This window comes from Homo sapiens, chromosome 13, assembly GCF_000001405.40.
Source record: "Homo sapiens chromosome 13, GRCh38.p14 Primary Assembly".
NCBI classification, from domain to species: domain Eukaryota; kingdom Metazoa; phylum Chordata; class Mammalia; order Primates; family Hominidae; genus Homo; species Homo sapiens.
Window position 1 is genome coordinate 20211424 of NC_000013.11, and position 21607 is coordinate 20233030.

Below are 21607 nucleotides of genomic sequence, written 5' to 3' on the forward strand. Positions count from 1 at the left end.
GACCCCATCCCACCTAGCAGTAATGAGGCACCACTGCCCCTCCCCCAGGTGGTGTCAAAGAAGGTCTAGTGGAGAGTCAGGACTTTCATCAGTGCCTACTAGAAATGAGGCCACCCCCACCATGGTGTTGGTGGAGATTACACTGAGAGCTGGAACTGCCAACCCTGCCCCACAAGGAGCCTCTCCTCACCTTGGGTGTCAATGGAGGTCAAATGGAAAAGCTGGACTTCTACCTCCACCTGACAGCATGAGGTGGCACCCATTCCCTTCTGGAGGGGTGACAGAGAAAGCCAGTTAAAACAGAGATTTTAAAGGAGATCCAGTCTTATGACATAACACCCAGAGTGTCCAGGTTTTTGTTGTTGTTGTTGTTTTTTGAGGCAGAGTTTTGCTGTTGTTGCCCAGGCTGGAGTACAGTGGTACAATCTCGACTCACTGCAACCTCCGCCTCCTGGGTTCAAGCAATTCTCCTGCCTCAGCCTATCGAGTCGCTGGGATTACAGGTGCCCATGACCACAACCCACTGATGTTTTGTATTTTTTTTAGTAGAGATGGGGTTTCACCATGTTGGCCAGGCTGGTCTCAAACTCCTGACTTCAGGCAATCCACCCGCCTCAGCCTCCCAAAGTTCTGGGATTACAGGTGTGAGCCACCACGCCTGGCCAGACTGTCCAGGTTTCAACTGAAAATCCCTTGTCATACCAAGAACCAAGACCTCAACCTGAATAATCAAAACAATACGAAGATGGCAGGGATGTTAGAATAATCTGACAAAGGTCTAAGGCAGTCATGATAAAAAGGCTTCAATGAACAAATACAAACATGTTTGAAACAGAAATAGAAAATGTCAGTGAAGAAATAGATGATATAGAGAAGAACCAAATGGAAATTCTAGAACCGTAAAATACAATAACTAAAATAAAAATACAAAAACTAAAAATAGAAAGAATTAGTGGACCAAAACAATAGAAACTACTCAATCTAAACAACAGAGAGAATAGAGACTGAAAAAAAAATGAGCAGAATTCTGGGTACCTGAGTTATTACAACAAAAGCCTTGACATTTGAGCCATCAGAATCCCAGAAGTTGAAGAGAAAGAGGGCAGGACTAAAAAAGGACTTGAAAAAATAATGGCTGAAAACTTTCCAAATTTTGTAAGAGATCTATATCCACAAATTCAAGAAGTGAACCCTAAACAAAATAAACCCAAAGAAATCATGCCGAGACACATCATAATTAAATTTCGGAAAACTGAAGACAAAGGAACAATCTTAAAAGTAGCCAGAGAAAAACATTGCCTATAGGGAAAAACCATTCAAATTTCTCCTTAGAAATTATGGAGGCCAGGCTGGGTGTGGTGGCTGATGCCTGTAATCCCAGCACTTTGGGAGGCTGAGGCAGGCAGATTGCTTGAGGCCAGGAGTTTGAGATCAGCCTGGCCAACAGGCGAAATCAGGGCTCTACTAAAAATACAAAAAAAAAAGAAAAAAAAAATTAGCCAGTGGTGGTGGTGTGCACCTGTAATCCAAGCTACTCAGAAGGCTGAGGTGGGAAGATTGCTTGAGCCCAGGAGGTGGAGGTTGCAGTGAGCTGAGATTGCACCACCGCAAGAAATCATGGAGGCTGTGGCACAATATTTTTCAGGTCAACTCAAAATTCTATTCCAGGCATAAATATCCTTCATGAGTGAGGAGGTAATAAAAACTTTCTCAAATAAAAGAAAGCAAAAAATTTATCACCAAGAGACCAATCATAAAAGAATAGCCAACAGAAGTTCTATATTCAGAAAGGAAATGATAAAAGAAGGAATCTTAGAACATCAGAAAGAACATGTTAAGCAACAGTATGGGTAAATACAATAGATTTTCCTTCTTCTCTTGTGTTTTCTAAATTATATTTAGCAGTTGAAAGAAAAATTACAACACTGACTGATGTGGTTCTAAATATATGTAGAGGAAATATCTAAGACAATTATAAATGGAGGAGGGTTAAGGGACATAATGGGAAATAAGGTTTCTCTATGTCACTCAAATTGGTAAAGTGACAACATTAGGAGGCTGTGATAAGTTGTGTAAATACAATATAATACCTAGGGCAACCACTAAAAATGTTACAGAAAGATACACACAAAAATAATAGATACATAAAAATAGAACTCTAAAAAACATTTAAGCAAACTACAGAAAGGGACGAGGGAAAGAAAACGGAAATAAAAAACAGACATAACAAACAGAAAACAAAAAATAAATGGCAGATCTAAGCCTTAAAACATCAACAATTACATTAAATATAATTGGTCTAAATACATCCATTAAAAGACAGATTAACAAAATGGACTAAAACACATTACTGAACTATGTGCTGTCTATAAGAAACTCAATTCAAATTTAAGGATATAGGCAGGTCAAAAGCAAAAGGATGGAAAAAGGTATACCATGTAAACTTCAGAGCAAAGAAAATTATGAGCCAGAGACAGACGTCATATAATGCTAAAAGTGTTAATTCACTAAGAAGGCATAGCAATCCTGAATGTGTATGCACCAAATAACAAAGCTGAAAAATAAGTGATGCAAAAACTGATGAAACTGAAAGGAGAAATAGACATATCCACAAATATAGATGAATACTTGAACACCCTCTCTCAATAACTGATAGAAAAACTAGGCAGAAAACCAGCAAGGACATAAAAGAACTCAATGACACCATCAACCAAAAGGCTCTAGTTGGGATTTGCCAAGCACTTCACCCAACAACACTGAAATATACATTCTTTTCTAGTCCAACAAATGTGTACCAAGATAGGCCACATTTTATTTAAAAATATCACACCTGTTTTAATCAGGTGTGATAAGAAATGCAGGCATGGAAATGACTGTCATGAAGGAAGAGGTTTTTACTTAGAGTGCTCTAGAAATAGGGGGCAAACACACCTTGCAGAGCCACATGGAAAAGTACCAGAGTCAGTCAGGAGGCAGAGGGTGTCAGGGGGAAATGTGGGCAAGAGCCATTAATGTGGTTACTCTGGGAAAGGCAAGGCAGAGTAAACAGGCTTAGCAGACTTGGGATTGGCTAGTGTGAAACTTTCAGGGGGCTCTGAGGCATAGGGGCTATCCCCATTGGTCTGATATCTGGCCCTGGACTGATTGGGGCAGGTAGACAGTGGCCTAGAATGTGAAATCTCTGTGAGCGACTGATGAAGGGGGTGGTTAGGGTCTAGGTTTGGAATGGTTGGTTTGCATATGATTGGTGCACTCACAGGGAGTTATTTGCCATCTCTAGGAATTAGCTGGCTCTGGGAGGGACAGTCTCCCCAAGGTTAGTAAGGCCACGAACATTATTCTGATATCAAAACAGAAGAGTAAAAAGACATGCTTAATACATAAGCCATAAAACAAACCTCAATACATTTCAAAGAATAAAATAATAGTGTGTTCTCTGGCCATAATAAAATCAAACTAGAAATAAATAGCAGAAAGATAATAGGAAAATTTCCAAACACTTGGAAACTAAAACACACTTCTAAATACATTGTACCAAATGAAATTTAAAAATAAAACATATCAAAATTTGTTAGCATAGCTAAAGGAGTGCTGATAGGGAAATGTATATCACTGAATGCATACTGCAGGAAAGAAGAAAAGACTGAGATCTAAGTTCCTACTCGAAGAACCTAGAAAAAGAAGAGCAAAATAAACCAAAAGCAAAAAGGAAGAAAATAATAAAGATAAGAGCAGAAATCAATTATCCTGAAAACAGAAAAAGAAAAGAGGATATTGATGAAACAGAGAGTTGGTTCTTTGAAAAGATCAACAAAATTTAAAATTTACAAACCTCTAGGAAGGCTGACAAAGGAAAAAAAAGAGAGAAGACATAAATTACCAATATCAGGAATGAAACAGGATATATCGCTACAGACCCTGTGGACATCAAAGCAATAATAAGGGAATCTTGTGAGCAACTCTACACATACACTTTGCAACTTAGACAAAATGGACCATTTCCTCAAAACCCACAAACTACCATAGCTCAACCAATATAACATAGATGATATGAGCTGTATAACTATTAAGGAAGTTTAATTTATAATTAAAAATCTCTCAGAAAAGAATTGTTCAAGGCTCAGATAGTTTCACTGGAGAACTCTACCAAATGTTTGAAGAAGGATTACCACCAATTCTACATTTTTTCCAGAAAATAAAAAAAGAGGGAACACTTCCCAGTACATTTTGCGACGCCAGTGTCATACTGATCCTAAAACCAGACAAGTACAGCATACAAAAAAAGAAAACTACAGACTAATATCCTCCATTAATATAGAGGCAAAAATTCTTAATAAAATAGTAACAAATGGAGTTTGGTACTGTATAAAAAGAATTACACACCATGAGAAAGTGAGGTTCATTCCAGGGATGCAAGGCTGGTTTAATGCTAAAACAATAGTCAATATAATCTACCGTATTAACAGGCTAAAGAAGAAAAATCATATGATTAATCAATTCATGGAAAAACTTTTTTTTGGCCAAAATTCAAAAGGCATTCATGATTTTAACAACTCTCAGAAGAATGAGAATAGAGATGAACTTCCTGAATTTGTTAAAGAGCGTCTACAGAAAAACCTGTAGTTAAGATTATACTTAATGGTGAAAGATTGAGTCCTTAATGCTCCCCTTAAAATCAGGAACAAGGAAAGGATTTTTGCCTTTACCATTCCTATTCAGTGTAGTGCTGGAATGTCTAGCCAGTGCAATTTGACAAGAAAAGAAATTAAAAGGCATGTGGACAGGAAAGGAAGAAATAAAATTCTTCATATCTACAGATGATATGATTGTCTACATATGATTGTCTACATAGACTCCTAAGAAATCTACAAAAATCTAGAACTAATAAATGAATTCAGCAAGATTGGAGGACTCAAACAAATAAGCAAACGAAACCCAAATGTATTTCTATAAACTAGCAATGAACATGGGAACATTGAAATTAAAATATAATACTATATTCAATCAATCAAAGAAAATGAAATATTTAAAATCTAAATCTAACAGAACATTTACATGACTTGTATGCCGAAAACCACACAATACCAATGAAAGAAATTAAAGAGGATATAAATAAATAGATAAACTGTGTTTGAGCCTAGGATGATCAAACATAGTAAAGATGTAAATTCTTCCCAAACTGATGTACAGGTTTAATGCCATTTCTATCAAAATCCCGGCAAAAGTTTTTGTATACAGAGATGAGATTATTCTAAAATAATCCTTATAATGGATCCATTCATATAATAGAAAGGCAAAGGAACTAGAATAGCTAAAACAATTTGACAAAAAAGAATCAAGTGGGAGGAATTACTCTTGCAGATTTCAAGATTTATTATGTATCTGCAATAATTAAGACTGTTTGATATTCGCAGAAGGATAGACCCAATGGTCAAAGGATCAGAACAGAGAACCCAGAACTAGACCCATACAAACATGCCCAACCGGTTTTTGATAAAGATGCAAAAGAAACTCAAATGGAGAAGAGATTGCCTTCTTATCAAATGGTGCCAGAGCCATTGGACATCTACATGCAAAAAAATGAACCCCAACTTAAGTCTCAGACCTTATCTAAAATTTAACTCAAAATGGGTCACAGACTTAAATATACGGTGTAAAACTATAAAACTTTTAGAAAAACATAGGAGAAAGTCTTCAGGATCAAGGGCTAGGCAAAGAGTTCTGAGACTTGACACCAAAAACACAATCCATAAAAGAGAAAAGTGATAAATTGTGCTTCATTAAAGTGAAAAACTTTTGTTCTTCAATGACCTTGTTAAGAAGATGAAAATAAAAGCTACAGAGATGTGTTTAATTTGTTTTAAAGCCACGAAGTGAAAAAATATTTGCAAACCACTTATCTGTCCAAACCAGTGCCCAGAATACATAAAGAACTATCAAAACTCAACAGTAGGAAGACAAACAATCCATTTAGAACAAGGACTAAAGACAGGAAGAGGATACAGAGATGGCAAATAAGCACATGAAAAGATGTTCAACTTCGGCTAATGCAACTAGGGAAATGCGAGCTAAGCACACCAGTCAGAATGTATAAAATAAAAAATAGTGACAGTACCAAATGCTGGTGAGGATGAGGAAAAACTAGATTGCTCTTCCATTGCTGGTGGGATTGTAAAATGGGGCAGCTACTCTGGAGAACCGTTTGGCGGTTTGTTAAAAGCAAACAATGCAGCTATCATATGGCCTAGCAATTGGACGTCTGGGCATTTATCACAGAGAATGAAAACTTTCATTCACAGAATAATCTTTACAGGAACAATTCATATTATTCATATATGTAAAAAACCAGAAACAGTCAACATGTAACCAATCTCAGAAGGTTACATACTGCTTGATTCCTTGTATATAACATTCTTTAAATGACACATTATAGAAATAATGAGCAGATGAGTGGTTGCCAGGACTTAAGAAGGGGATGGTAGGTGGGACGGGAAGGAGTTGGGTGCGGGTATAAAAGGCCGCATGAGGGGTCCTTATGGTGATGGAAATGTTTTGTATCTTGACAGTATCAGTGTCAGTTTCCTGGTTGGGATCTTACACTACAGTTTTGCAAAAATTACCACCAGGGAAACTGCAAACAGCACATGGGATCTCTGCATTGTTTCTTATACCTGCACGTAAATCTACAGTTATCTCCAAATAATAATTTTAATTAAAAAAAGAATGAAACACTTATAGGACAGTCAGAGAACACTGGCTGTAGTTTTTAGTGTGATGGTGACATTGAGCTTTTTCGAAAGATTAGTCTGTATTCTTAAAAGATCCATACTGAAATATTTCAGATGACATTCTGTCTGGTATTTGCTTCAGAATAATCCAGAGCGAGGGAGAAACAGGTGAGGTCCACCAGGAGAGTGAATGGCTGTAAGCAGGGCATTGTGGAGCTGGGTAGTGGGTATGTGGGTGTCTTTACATTAGACACTACATGTGATTCTAGTGCCTGGGGCAGGGCAACATGGTGGGGAGGCCATTGGCTTTAGACAGGGTCAGACCGGCTGTGAATCTTGGCTCTGCTACTTATTAGCTGTGTGACCTCGCTCAATCTACTCAGACTTTCTTTCCTCTTTCTTTCATTCCTTCTTTCTATCCTTCTTTCTTTCCTTCTTTCCTTCTTTCTTTCTTTCTTTCTTTCTCTTTCTTTCTTTCTTTCTTTCTATTTCTTTTCCTTTCTTTCTCTTTCTTTTTTTTTTTTTGAGACTGAGTCTCACTCTGTCACCCAGGCTGCAGTGCAATAGCGTGATCTCGGCTCACTGCAACCTCTGCCTCCCGGGTTCAAGCAATTCTTGTGCCTCAGCCTCCCGAGTAGCTGGAACTACAGGTGGGTGCCACCACGCCCAGCTAATTTTTGTATTTTTAGTAGAGACGGGGTTTCACCATGTTGGCCAGGCTGTTCTCAAACACCTGACCTCAGTGATCTGCCCGCCTGGGCCTCCCAAAGTGCTGGGATTACAGGCATGAGCCACCACGCCCAGCCTCTATTCAACCTTTCTGACCTCAGTGTCTTTGTCTGTAAAATGAGGCTAATATCTCATAGGGTAATTGGGAAGATAAACAAGATTGCTGAGGAAGAGTGCAGGGTGAGTAATAAAAGGTTCTTGGGGTAATTTTACCTGAGGACGGAGAGAGGAAGAGAAGCCAGTGCAGGAGATTGATGGGCAGGTGGAGGTGGGGCAGGAGAACCATGGTTAGGTTGGGCAGTGTGTGGGAATCTAGTAAAATATTAGTTTTATTTAATTTTTAATTTTTTTGTGATAAGGTCTTGTTCTATCACCCAGGCTGGAGTGCAGGGGCGTGATCATAGATCACTGTAGCCTCAATCTCCTGGTCTCAAGCGATCCTCCCACCTCAGCTTCCTGAGTAGCTGGGATTACAAGTTTTTTTTGTTTGTTTGTTTTTGTTTTTTTTTGTAGAGACTGGGACTTGCTGTACAAAAGAATCCAAGCTGGTCTCAAACTCTTGGCCTTAAACGATCCTCCTGTCTTGGCCTCATGAAACGTTGGGATTATAGGCGCAAACCGCCCTGCCCAGCCAGTAAAAGATTTTTAAAAGAATTGTTGGAAGAAGACACCTGAGAAGAAGCCATCAGATGTGGCATTCAGAAAGTCATTGGTGTTGATAATGGCTTCAGTTCAGTGGTGAAGGTGGACCCAGATTCATTGCTGTGGAATAGTTGGGGAAAGAGGAAGTAAGTGCCTGCCATTCTCAGAATCTTGATGGCAGGGTATGGAGAGACCAGGCTGTAGCTCAAGAGGGAAGGAGCTTTTAGAGAGGTTAAAGAGCAGAAAGAAACTAAAAATGAAGAGATTGAAAGTGAAAGAGAGAGGAGGGTTGTTTCCATATCCTGTCCATTGTGAATCATGCTGCAATGAACACAGGTGTGCAAGTATTTCTTTGAGATCCTGGTTTTAACTCTTTTGAGCATATACCCAAAAGTGCAATTCTGGATCATTTGGCCATTTTACTTTTAATATTTTAAGGAGCCTCCATTCTGCTTTCCATAATGCTGCGCTCTTCTACATTCCTAACACTGCATGAGAGCTGCATTTTCCCCACATCGTCACCAACACTCATCCTTTGTTTCTGTTTTGTTTTTTGATAATAGCCATCCTAACAGGTGTAAGGTGATATCTTATGGTAGTTTTGACAGATAAATGAAGACAGAAAGTATGGTATATCCATACAATGGAATATTATTCGACCTTAAAAAGGAAGAAAATCCTGCCATCTGCGGCAACATGGATGAACCCAGAGGACATTATGTTAAGTGAAATAAGCCCGGCACAGAAAGGTAAATATTCCTGATCGTACTGATGTGAGCGTCTAAAACAGTCAAACTCTGAGTAGCAAAGAATCCAACGGCAGTTTCCAGGGCTGGGGAGGGGTGTGGATTTAAGGAAATGGGGAATTATTATTCAATGGATATAATTCAGTTATGCTAGAAGAATATGTTCTAGAGATCTTCTGCACAGCATCCTGCCCGTAGTGAACAATATGTATTGCACACTTCAAAATACGTTAAGAGGACAGTTCTCATGTTAAATGTTCTTACTGCAAAAAACAATGCAACACAGGGGCCTTTTGGAGGTGATGGGTATGTTTATTACCCTGATTGTTGTGCTGGGTATCCCGGGTGTTTCCATAGGTCCAAACCCATCAAATTAGGCACTTTAAATATGTGCAGTTCTGTGTATATCCATTTTACCTCAGTTTGTTGTTTAAAAAAGGAGAGAGAGAATGGAGTGGCCAACTGCAGCAGTCCTGGGGGAGAGGTGGGGAGAAGATGCCTCCTCCATTCATACTGGGATTATTGCCAAGGCTGTGTTATTTGCCCCTTATCTTCCCCACTTCCTGTGGGCTTCATGCAATACCCGTACAACCAGCGATTTAAAAGGAAAGGAACAGGGCTGGACGCGGTGGCTCACGCTTTTAATCTCAGCACCTTGGGAGGCCGAGGAGGGCGGATCACTTGAGGCCAGGAGTTGGAGGCTAGCCTGACCAACATGGTGAAAGCTCATCTTTACTAAAAATATAAAAATTAGCCGGGCATGGTGGCACACGCCTGTAATCCCAGCTACTTGGGAAGCTGAGGCATGAGAATCGCTTGAACCTGGGAGGCAGAGGTTGCAGTGAGCCAAGATTGTGCCACTACACTCCAGCCTGGGCTACAGAGTGAGGCTCTGTTTCAAAAAATAAAAATAAAAATAAATAAATAAAATAAAAAGAAAGGAACATCCCAGGAAAAGCAGGGATTATGAATGCCAACTTGGTTGGTTTAGTGTGATGATGAAATTGTGATTTTGCTTTAAAAGCTTAGTCCTTGGTTTTTATAGATTGGTACTAAAATATTATGGCTGAAATATTTTGGGGTTTGCTTTAGACTAAAGAAAATGAGAAGAGTATTTTTGTTTCTCTGGAGCAAGTTTTTGAAGGAGGTCCTGGAGGAATCAGCATGCCACACCAAGCCCACATCTGTGTTCACCGTTCACTGGATGTCCCCATGGGTGGTGTATCATGCTATGTCTCTTTAGGAGTGAGATCATGGGTGTGCCATTGCTCCCAGCAGTGATCAGTCTGCACCTGCCTCACCCACACCCATACTAATGGCATCTGTGTCCCATCTGGAAATCCTTGGGGGGAAAGAGGTTTCCCACCTCTGGGTGCTAAACTGTGGGTGCTTTTCTCAGTCACATGGGATGAAGGCTTAAGACTTCCCTAACCTCCTCTCTTTCTGGGATGAACTGACCCTGAGGACATCATCCTAGTGTCGTACAAGTGGCCCCCTCCAAGCTGAGTGCTCTGTAGGCTGCTAAACTTAGCCTCTGCCCATTTGCAGGGAGGGTGCAAGTATCGCTGTTGAAGTTCCAGGCCCCTCCACCCACAGTAACTGGTGGCCTTCCCAGCAAAAGCACCCAACCCACTCATCATACCACGAGGGTTGGCAGCAAGCTGCCCAGATGCAACAGAAACCACAAGGCATGTGAAGGCTTAAGCAATGGGGACGAGCTTTATTGAGGCAATCACATCCACATTTCAGTTGTTTGCAATGATTGGCAAACGGATGAGTTAAAAAAGCCTTCTGCTTCCACACTGTTCCGTCTACATTCAGAAAGCAGTAAAAATATATTGTGCAATGAACACTTTCCACCTTAAGCGTATCATGACAGTTCACAAATTTGCCAACAGACAATGCAAAACAATATTTACAAGATAGACCCTTTGTAAGTTCCAAATTTAGATACTTGTGGTGTAATTCTAAAACTAACATCGCATGTTTTTCCAGGTAAGGAAGACCAGTCATTATAAAAATACTTTATATAAATTCAAAGTCAGAACTAAAAACATCCAAGCCTATAAAAATATCTTTTCCTAATAAACGTATCAATTCCTGGATAAATGTTCCTTATCAACAACAGTTATATAAATTTTCAGAAAGTACCCACTTTGTCAGAGAGTCCACTTAAAAGGAACCTGTCAAAGTGACTGCAATGCTCCTTTGTCAAGCAGTCTCTTGTTTTCAGAGATGGACCACATATTTGATTACGTTGTGTATGAATGGAGCAAGTATCCTACAAAAAGTTAACTCAAGTGTCTATTTATTATGAAAGTCATTTACAAACTCTTCAGGCTACAGAAGGAACTTTCAGGTTGGTATTGCCTTCTGGAGAAGACAGAAGTCTCCTTATGACGCAGCTACATTTTACCTTGAAATGTTTAGCTTGGGAAACCTGTGATTGCATTTTGACCACTATCTGAAATCAGCTCATTCATTTCATTCTGCTTACTCTCCTTTAGGGCATGATTGGGGTGATTTTTTTGCGTCTGTGCTCTCTTTGATCTCCTAAAACACACTTTCAGCAGCAGGTAGCACAACTCTGCCACGTTAAGCAGCATGCAAATCACAGACGCAGAAATCATAAAAATGGTAAACACGGTCTTCTCTGTTGGCCTAGAAATAAAGCAGTCAACAAGGTTGGGGCAGGGGTCAATCCCACATTTCAACACCCAGGGCAGGTGGTACCCATTGTAAAGGAAGTAAAACACATACATAAAGGCTGCTTCAAAGATGATTCGGAAAAAGATGCTGCTGGTGTACGTCCACCACAGCGACCCCTCTATCCGAACCTTCTGCTTTTTAATGTCCTCTATGTCTTTGAAATCATTCCTCTTCTCTCCTCGCCTGAACTTGCGAGTGGTTTCGTGCCTGTAGTAGGCCACATGCATGGCCACCAGCAGCGCTGGGGTGGAGACGAAGATCAGCTGGAGGGCCCACAGCCGGATGTGGGACACCGGGAAAAAGTGGTCATAGCACACATTTTTGCATCCCGGTTGCAGTGTGTTGCAGACGAAGTCCTCTTGCTCGTCACCCCACACTTCCTGGGCAGCCACCACGAGGATCATGACTCGGAAAATAAAGATGACTGTGATCCACACCTTCCCGATGCTGGTGGAGTGTTTGTTGACACCCCCGATGAAAGTGTGCAGCGTCCCCCAATCCATTGCGCTGGTTTATCCCTAAACAGACAAAAGTGGGCAAAGGTTTATTAGTGGAAGAGGCCTTGGGAAAGTGACACGGTGATATTACAGACTGAAGCCAACTTTATTTTAAGGTAGGCTGTGATACTTTACAACTTCAACTCCCTGCCCTGCTAGTCTGAGGTTTTCTGAAAAGGAATGCCCACCCTGAAAGCATTCTCATGTTTGGCCAGGTGTGGTGGCTCACGCCTGGAAACCCAGCACTTTGGGAGGCAGAGGCGGGCAGATCATGAGGTCAGGAGATCGAGACCATCCTGGCTAACAAGGTAAAACCCCATCTCTACTAACAATACGAAAAAAAAATTAGCCTGGCGTGGTGGCGGGCACCTGTAGTCCCAGCTACTTGGGAGGCTGAGGCAGGAGAATGGCGTGAACCAGGGAGGTGGAGCTTGCAGTGAGCCGAGATTGCACCACTGCACCCCAGCCTGGGTGACAGAGCGAGACTCTGTCTCGAAAAAAAAAAAATTATCATGTTTTTGGTCAGAAACAACTTTTTGGAAGAGGGGTTAGGATCATCTTGATTCAACTAAATTCAGATCATATATTAGATTGCTGTTTGCATTAATCCAGGAACACAGGTAAACAAATTCATTTCCAAGCTCCCTTTTAATCACTGTCTGATCCATTACACCAGATTGGCTTTCTCCTAGGGCTCACCTAGCTTCCACAGTAGATTTTATTCATTAAATAGCTTATTCAGGGGGAAAAAAAACTTTCATTGGAATGACATATTCTAGTTTACCCAACAGACTAAGAAGGGAAAAAACAAAATACTTATTAGCTTACTTTATACAATATATTTATACTTAATTCTAGCTTGAATAACATCATCTGCCATACTCATGTGTTCTTAGGAAATCTAATATTGTCAACTACTGAGAAAGCCTCTTCTAAAAGAGATTCACAATCTTTTATAAAGATTGCTCCATTGTTCTCCAATATATCTGCAGTATAACCAAGCCCACGTTGGCTTTGCCTCCCCAGCGGGTCCTGTTTGCGCCAGGGGCAGCCGAGGAGGGGATCTGCTGCCCTTGCCACCCAGTGCCTCCTTCCCTGTTAATGCACTGATTCTCTATCCCGAGAGAAAAAGGACTTCTTTACAGCTATGGACACTTTTGCTATAATTCAAACAGCTGCCTTCTTAGCCTATACTGCCACAGAAGACTATAGAATTGGTCAGCATTCTCCTTTGAAAAATAAAAGGAGGTATCATGGACCCTTTGAAAATTTTCAGAAAGTAAAAGACCTCTCCCCAGAGTAATTCACTCAGGCATTTTTTTTACAGGCTGTCGGGGCATGAGGGAGTCACCAAAGTCCTTCTCTTCACCGGTCTTAGACTTTCTTATCCCTGAGTGGGTGAGGGACACCTGTCAGCCTCCCCTTCTCAGGCCAGCCCCCTGGACCTCACGCTCTGGCCCACACACCTGCCCCTCTGCATTACGCTGGCTGCTCTTGGAAGCAGTGGGGTAAATGGAGGCAGCCTCTCCCCACCCAGGAGTGCCTTGGCCTCAGAGTGGGGTGCTACTGTGTGCCCCAAGGCAACATCTTTTGTAGACTTAGAAAGTCAGCAGACCTGTTGGAAAAGTCCGACTCCTAGTTCCGTTGGCTTTCTGAGAAATTGTTTTTTTTGCCCTTGGTTGGGTATTAATATTAAGCAACAATTCTCCATTCCCCCCTCCCCAGCCCCTAGCAACCACCATTCTACTTTCTGCATCTATGATTTTGACTGCTCTACAGTCCTCATATAAGTAGAAATCCACGGCACTTGTCTTTCTGGAACTGGCTTATTTCACTCAGCATAATGTCCTCGAGGTTCATCCATGTTGCTGCGTGTGACAGGATTTCCTTATTTTGGAGGCTGAATACTATTCCACCGTATGGATGCTCCCCATTTTGTTTACCCATTCATCTATCAATGGACACTGGGTTGCTTCCAGCTTTTGGCTGTTGTAACACTACTGTGAGTGAGGGTATACTACTATTTTTTCAAGACCCTGCTTTCAAGTCTCTTAGGTATCTAGATGTGGGATTGCTGGATCTCATGGTTATTCTATGTTCAATTCTTTAAGCATTTCCACAGGAGAGCAGAATATTATTATTCAGAATGAAAAGAGGGGCCCAATTCCTGGAGAAGGGCAAATATCTTGATTTTTAAAATAAGAGAAAACGTATATGTGTGAACTGGGGGACTTTCTGTTGAGCCCCCAGCAACATTCTAAAACAGTGTCACTAAACTTCTTGTTAAGAGTTCCGTGATAGCAACTATGACAACGGCAATGGCACCGAGTCTTGGAATCACAATGGTCTTTGTTGCCGCCTCTGCTATCGTTGGGAGGTTGTATTTTCATGATTCCTTCAATAACTGCAGCCTAGCATTTTACTTCAGGAATATCAGTATTCCTTAGGAGGAACATCCTTATCAGCGGGACATCAGCGCCACAGCACAAGGTTGCGAAAAAGAGACTGAGGCTCAGGCTGTGTGAAGGGAACAGAGTGCTGGGCTCCCCGGGCAGCCCACATTGGAAGGGTGGGCTCTTTCCATGTTTCAGGAAAGACCTGGCCCTCGGGGGCGCATCAACAGGTGTGTGGACAGATGGAAGAGGCTGGAGGTTACCTCACAGCCGAGAGAACAGAACAAACACTAGCTTGAGGAAGACGCTGAGGCACAGGGCGGTGACCCTGGAATGTGAAACAGAGGATTCAATGCCTGCGTGGATCTAGGACTAAGAACTGGATCTGACACTCAGCATTAACAGAAAGCCAGGTTTTTCTTAAAAAAAAAAAAAAAAGAAAATTGAAATGGGCTACCCTTCACACCATGTTTTCTCATCCCTTGAAGCATTTCATCAGAGGCTGTGTGAGTGTCTGCTGGGGTAATGCACAGGGGACTCCTCTGGAAGCCCTGGTCCCAGCGTTCCATAATTAAAGTGTATGTACTAATGCCTCCCTTTCATATACAACATATTTCACAGCCAAAAGAGATGGCCAATGTCCACAGTAAATGCAGCTCCATTTAAAAAGCTCATGTTAAATGATATGATTTGTAAAATTAATTTTATTCTCAGATGAAAGACATAATACATTTTCCTAACTGTTGATGTTCTATCTCAAAAGCATTTCAAAATGTGACCAGTGAGGAGCAAGAAATTTGTACGTCTTGATGTGTAAACATATTTTACAGCAGCTGTTCACCTATGGGGTCAGTCCTGTTTATTTATAAAATGAAGATGTTTTCTTATTAACCAAGAAACACCTCCCATTGAAATTTGGTCAACAAAATGCCCAATCAGCAAGAGTTTGATTTATCAAAAAATGGTTCACATTTTCTCCAACACTTCAAAGTCCATAGAATTTAACCTCCCCAGCAGGTGAGACAGCTGTGTTCTCTCGGTTCTCTAGCCCGTGGCCTGCCTGAACAACGGCACCCCGTGGTCCCCTGTGGTCCAACCTTCTAGGAAGTAAACAGATCAGGGAGCCAGAGGGGGACATGGCCTGGATGATTCTGAGAGGCTAAAGTCACAGAAAAGGTCAAGAGGTCACAACTCCCCCCCAGGAACACTGGTCCACGCTTTCTAGAAGCAGGGTCCCTGACCTCTGCAGCTTTGGGCTTCTCCCTGTTTTTTTTTTCTAAAAACAGGGACAATTATAAGGGCAGTAGCTTTTTAAATTTCTTTGGATTTTTCTGGGTCCCCAAGCCACACGGTCTGAGGGTGTTCTATCAACATAGCAAAACTGAACAGAATATAATCTGTTTCACAATGCGCGCTTCTCGATACCGGTACTAAAAATTGGCAATCCACCTATGCCTTTAAAGGAAGAAAAGTAAAGGAGATGCCGAGCTTGCTGAGAAAAATGAGGTTAAATCCAATACAAGTGTGTCTAACTCCCCGGTCACTCAGGACAGTCTCCTGGTTCAGAGTGTCCTCCTGCAAGAGCCACAAAGGCCCTGTTATTCCTAACAGCAGAAGTGATCCAAGGGAGAAGCTGTGTCCTCTCTCCGAACCTGCCCGGTCCTGAGTGGGCTGCCCCTGGGTGCTCAGTGACCCTGAGCTGGTGTTTCCCAACTGAGACAGTGAGACAGTGGCTCTTTCCATTCTTTTCCAGGTTGTGTCACACCTGAGGGGCTCACCAACCAGCTCCGGGGATCTGCCGTGCGTATCATTCTCTGCAGGCCAACAGCCAGGGAGAAGAGAGCTCCCCTCGCAAGTGTCAAGAGATAGGCCAGGGTGATGGGTCAGCTGCGGGTTATCAAGCCCCCAAATTTCCAGCACATTGCTGCCATTACTGGCCAGGCCTGGCTGCCCCAGGAGACGCTCCCATTCAAGGAGCGGTGGGAGGATGGCAGTAAACGCAGGAGACTCAGCAAGTTTTAAGGAGGACTCAACTCCACTGACTGCTCCTGTCCTGACTTTGGTGGGTGGACAGGGTGGGTGGACAGACTGCAGAGGGGCCCAGAGGAAGGATGTTGTGGGTTGGGGGTGGCAAAGAAAGCGCCCAGCCCCCAGGTTCTCCCTTGTAAAAACACATAACCACAGGGCATAATCTTTCACAAACCCTCTTGGTTGGAGAAGATTTGAAGGCTATTTCAATTTGTGAAGTCGTCACTAATTTCAAATTACTTTCCAAAATCATCGCATCCACTGGGACCCTTTGCAACTGTAGTAAACAAAGTACCTCTTTCCTCTCCTGCTTCTGGAGGGCTGGAGCCAATGGGAGGAGCTTTTTCAATACAAAGTGAAATATTAACTCTTTCTTCGGAAACCAGAGAGGTTCATTTTAACTGATGCCTCTCTGGCTGTCTTTTAAGGAAAGAATAGATACGCTTAGCTTCTGCAGTCTTCAACTTCTAAGAATGTGATTACATTTAAACTTAAAAAGGTAAACTGTGTTCGGTTTTGTAGTAAATGTAATCATAGTGAAGAACTCGATGCTGTTTTTTCTTGTTTGTTTGTTTTTGTTTTTTGTTTTTGTTTTTTGTTTTTTTTGAGATGGAGTCTAGCTCTGTTGCCCAAGCTGGAGTACCGTGGCACGATCTCGGCTCACTGCAAGCTCCGCCTCCCGGGTTCACGCCGTTCTCCCGCCTCAGCCTCTCTGAGCAGCTGGGACTACAGGCGCCTGCCACCAAGCCCGGCTAATTTTTTGTATTTTTAGTAGAGACGGGGTTTCACCGTGTTAGCCAGGATGGTCTCGATCTCCTGACCTCATGATCCGCCCCCCTTGGCCTCCCAAAGTGCTGGGATTACAAGCATGAGCCACCGCGCCCGGCCCATGCTATATTCTTGATACTAAAGCTCCAGTCTGAAATATCTAGCTCTAAAAATAAGTAAACCATGGACTTTACTTTTGAGGATCCACACAGCATTGTGAAGATAGGTTGTTCTTTCCTTTTACAATTCAAATAATTTAGATCTATTGGCATTTGACTGCACTAATGAAATTTCTTGATTGTTTTAAAACTTCTTAGGAAATTAATCACAACTAGCTTATTTATCTATGCCATTATAATTTCACTAATGACAGAACCAAAACTAAAGCCCCCAAAGTTAGAGTGTAACCCCTCAGCATATTTTTCTAGATAGCTCTGTTCCCCTTTCAATGTCATTTAGCAAAAAAAAAAAAAAAAAAAAAAAAAAATTTTTTTTTTTTTTTTTAGACAGAGTCTTGCCCTGTTGCCCAGGGTGGAGTGCAATGGTGCAATCTCAGCTCACTGCAACATCTGCCTCCCCGGTTCTAGTGATTCTTGTGCTTCAGCCTCCTGAATAGCTGGGACTACAGGCATATGCCACCATACCTGGTTAATTTTTTTTTTTTTTTTTTTTTTTTTTTTTTTAGTAGTGACAGGGTTTTGCCACCTTGGTCAGGCTGGTCTTGAACTCCTGACCTCAGCCTCGGCCTCCCAAAGTGTTGGGATTACAGGCATGAGCCATCGCGCCTGGCCATCTAGGGAGTAGTTGATAGATCTGAGAACAGGAACATGTGCCTCCCAATTTCGAAGTTAGCTTTGGATAGTCGGGGAGTCTGCATAGATAAAAGGAAAACAATATCAAAGCAAAACAAGCAAACCTGAGTCCTGTTTCCAACGACTGCCAGTGTTTCAGACCCAAAGAATGAGGGCAAGATCCCTCTGCGAGGGTTTCAGACCTCCTTCTCCTACCCCACTGGAGTGCCTAGAAGCCAATGGTGCACAGTGATGATACGAATGTCAATCTTTGCTCGGTCAGTGAGGATGTCGCCTGTTGAGGGAAAAATAGTAGCTGTTGCCATATTCCTTTAACTCCCCCCCCCCCCGCCCCCCGCAATATGTCCCCTGAATAAACTTTGTGGGTAGTTTTTCTTCATTCCCAGAACTGTTATGAGGTAAGTTCAGAAATTGCCAGCTTCCTGATGCTCTATGCTTTGAACACACAAAATAATCAAAGGTGCTCTTTAGTAGGATCCTTTCCCTATCAAAATAACAGTAACACCCAATCTGAGGCCTCAAGCCCACTCCTTGAGCAAAACAAAAAGGGACAGGGGAGAGTTTGAGACACTGGCTACACCCTGATCCCCAAATCAGTGGTTTAAAAAAAATCTCAGACTCTTTCTTCAATCAGGAAGAATAGATTTCTTTTGTCTCTAGAAATCTCAGGTCATCCAAGGGACAACCTGATAGTTGATTTTTAAATTTAGTGACAAAAAACTTCAGCAACTGTCCTGATAGAGTAACAGCTAGTGATAACAATGGGTCAGGGATTCATATATTTCAAAATTAACTCAATAAAAATGAAACGTTTCTGTCTGTGGAGTCTAGATGTAAAAATGGAAAACTCATGCAATTACGTATGTTTCTTACATCATTTAAGAATTCAAAGAGTTAAAAATTAATTTCCATTAAGTTAAACTTTCCTTCTCTGGGTCTTGTTAGCAATATATGTTTGTTCATTCAAGCAAACCTGTGTCCTTTCCAAACATTTAAGCTCAACTAGATTTAAATGACCCTGGGAATAAAAATGGAGCAGGCCCTCTGGGGTTCCAGGTCTATGCTCATGCACTAAGCAACTAAAACAGAAATCATAACCTATGGCAGGTGGCCATTAGAAGGTTATGCCCTCACAGACCAAGAAGCTTGGGTCAGAAATCACTTTCCCACAATTTTATCCCATTTAACATTTAAACTAATATATGCAAACTGCTCACAGCACCTGGAATATTCAAATTGAATTAAAGATGCATGAAGAGGGCGTACAAGTTAGAATTTTTCTTTCGCCATACAGAAATTGTTTAGCCAGATCTTCTGTACTTCTTTTCCTTCCTAACACTCAGAATTCAGAAGAGAAGACATAAGAAAAAAAGCATAAAGTCATCATTACCTGTATCAGAATTTGTTTAAAAAACAACCAGTGGGGCAGGTGAACTGACCAGCGTCTTCCCAGCTTTAGTCACTGCAGTGGCAATGAGGCGCTCTCCACACCCCCAGTTATGTGACAGGCTAGAGCCCTGGTGTTCTCTCTTCAGAACCCCCCTCTCCTCCTTGGCAAGCTTCAAGCAACACCCCCAAAGACGCTGCTGGATCCAAACAACAGACAAAGCTCTCCACAGGAGCAGTTCTGAGCAGCACCCTGCAATTCTAAGGAGACTGCATGGGGGCAGGACATTTTCTTCTAGAACACTGGTTAGATTCTGCTAGAACTGGGGCAAGAAAATAGCTGTATGGCATAAAGTCTACTTGAGGGAAAAGAACAACCCGGCACGGTTACGTTCAATCAGACACTAAACAGAGTGCACGCCCACCCAGGGGACACTGAGGTCGCTGGGCCAGTGTCCCCGCCTGGTTGCAGGTCCCTAACCCCTCCGGGAGTGCAGAGCTGCGGGCAGGCCACACTCACCCTGACCCTTCCTGCTCCCCAGGAAGGGAGGTCAGCCCCGTTTGCAAAACACAGGATGCCCGTGACACCGGAGACAGGTCTTCTTCACCGACAGGAAGTGCCTTCTGGTGCCTGCACGTTTTAACTAAGATGTGTCGCCAATTACTTTTAATTACTGTCGTCCACGCTATTGTCATCAGCATTTCACAAGTTTCTCGGAAGCCCATCACGCAGCCCATACCCTGCGGTTCTCCGGGGACTTATGCATCGGCCCAAGTTGAGGGTTTGTCTGAACTGAAACCCGCATCCTAGACCTGGCTTTCTTCTCCCCAAATCCAAGGGGACACCCCGGTGACCCACAAAAGCTTAGAAAATCCAACACGCAGCAAATGAAACGGGGGAAAGGGGCACCGGCCCTCACTCTGGCCTCTTAGACACACGATATGAAACCTTCATAAAACCTGTTGTACAAGTCAAAGGGGACCACGCTGGGGTAAAAGTCAAACCAGTCCATCCTCGTTCCTCTGCGTACAGAGAGAGGGTCCAGCGCGGGCGGCGCCCACTGCCATCGGGCCGGGGCCGGGGCGCGTGGACAGGAGGGTGCGGATAGAGGCAGATCGGGGGCCCGGTCGCCCCACGTGCGGCCAGACACCCATCCCGGCCGCGCTCTGCCGGCTCTGATCCGGTGCCAGACAGGAGCGACAGGGGCGAGGTGGGGACCAGCCGCCGACCTCACCTGTTTTGTTTTCTTGGAGGAAATTCCTCCGCTGGGGGGCCGAGGTGGCACCGCCCGCTCGCCCCCCGCAAGACCCAGCCGGTCCGCGCCCGCTTACCTGCTCTGCGGCCGGCGGCCCTGGCGCGGGCTCTGCGCGGGGCGGCGCCCTTCGCTCCGGCTGGGCAGGCAGGTCGGGCTCGGGCGCCGCCGGCTGTCGGGCTCTCGTCGGGTTTCGGGTGAAGGCCCCGGCTCCCACCTGCTGCGCCTTTTAACCGCGCCCCACCCCGCCTCTGCCCTGACGCGGCTCGGGCGGGCTGCGGGAGGCGAGCGCTGTCACTCGACGAGCCCCCCGCCCCCACCTACCCGGGGCGCACTAGCCGCTGGGCGCGGACCGTCCCCCTGAGGAGCAAGGAGTGCAGGACCGGGGCTGTCCCTCCGGGGCCGGATGCGCAGAGCGGGGACCTTTTTCCCGTGGCGGGGGCGCAGGGTGGGGGACCCCTAAGAAGTGCACAGTGCGCGGGGCCCTCTTTCCGGCCCTTGGAGGGAACGGGGTACCGGGGATGCAGGGGGTAGGGCTCTCCCTCGGGAGCGCAGAGGGCGGGCCCAGCCCCCTCTGCACGGGTGCAGGTGTGGGGCGCCTGCTCAGGCCCTCGAGGGAACTCTTCCTCCCTAGTGCACCCGTGGGGAGCAGTGTGAGGGGCAGGCTGTGTTTTTGCCAGGACACATCCTCAGTCTTTCTGGGTGATCCAGCCTTCTCATAGCCCGCGGGGTGCACAGACCTCTCCTATAGGAGCCTGGAGGTTCTTTATTAATTAATGACCACTTAGAGGAGGTACAGGGGTTGTTTTTATTAATTACCTCCATCCTTTGAAGACTCCTCCGGGGAAGCGGAGCAGGCCTTCCTCGGGACAGTGCACCAGGAGAGACCACATTGCCTCCCCGCTTTTCAGTCAAG

General features: G+C 43.7%; 1 protein-coding gene across 9 annotated transcripts, besides 1 other annotated feature; it reads right to left on the reverse strand.

Annotated features, from left to right (window-relative positions):
- Positions 8149–8328: an enhancer, noted in NCBI's record as "active region_7417". NCBI's record gives its function as "activates an Ori minimal core promoter by ATAC-STARR-seq in GM12878 lymphoblastoid cells {active_cell/tissue: GM12878}" and the evidence as "EXISTENCE:reporter gene assay evidence [ECO:0000049][PMID:35858748]".
- GJB6 (gap junction protein beta 6) lies at positions 10539–20896 on the reverse strand. Of its 9 annotated transcripts, none has more exons than NM_001110219.3 (5): positions 20771–20896; positions 19959–20082; positions 19275–19384; positions 18157–18326; positions 10539–12072 (listed from the first exon to the last, which is right to left on the reverse strand). In NM_001110219.3, exon 5 carries the CDS (start codon positions 12055–12057, stop codon positions 11272–11274), a length of 786 nt encoding a protein of 261 aa, NP_001103689.1. In that variant the 5' UTR covers positions 12058–12072; positions 18157–18326; positions 19275–19384; positions 19959–20082; positions 20771–20896; the 3' UTR covers positions 10539–11271. The 9 variants fall into 9 exon arrangements, with proteins under 9 accessions (NP_001103689.1, NP_001357019.1, NP_001357021.1 ...); NM_001370090.1 differs by having other exon boundaries at positions 19275–19390; NM_001370092.1 differs by having other exon boundaries at positions 20674–20896.

What these genes read in the sequence shown, in the direction of transcription:
- GJB6 (NM_001110221.3), bottom strand. Translation starts at nt 12,057, where the DNA reads ATGGATTGGGGGACGCTGCACACTTTCATCGGGGGTGTCAACAAACAC.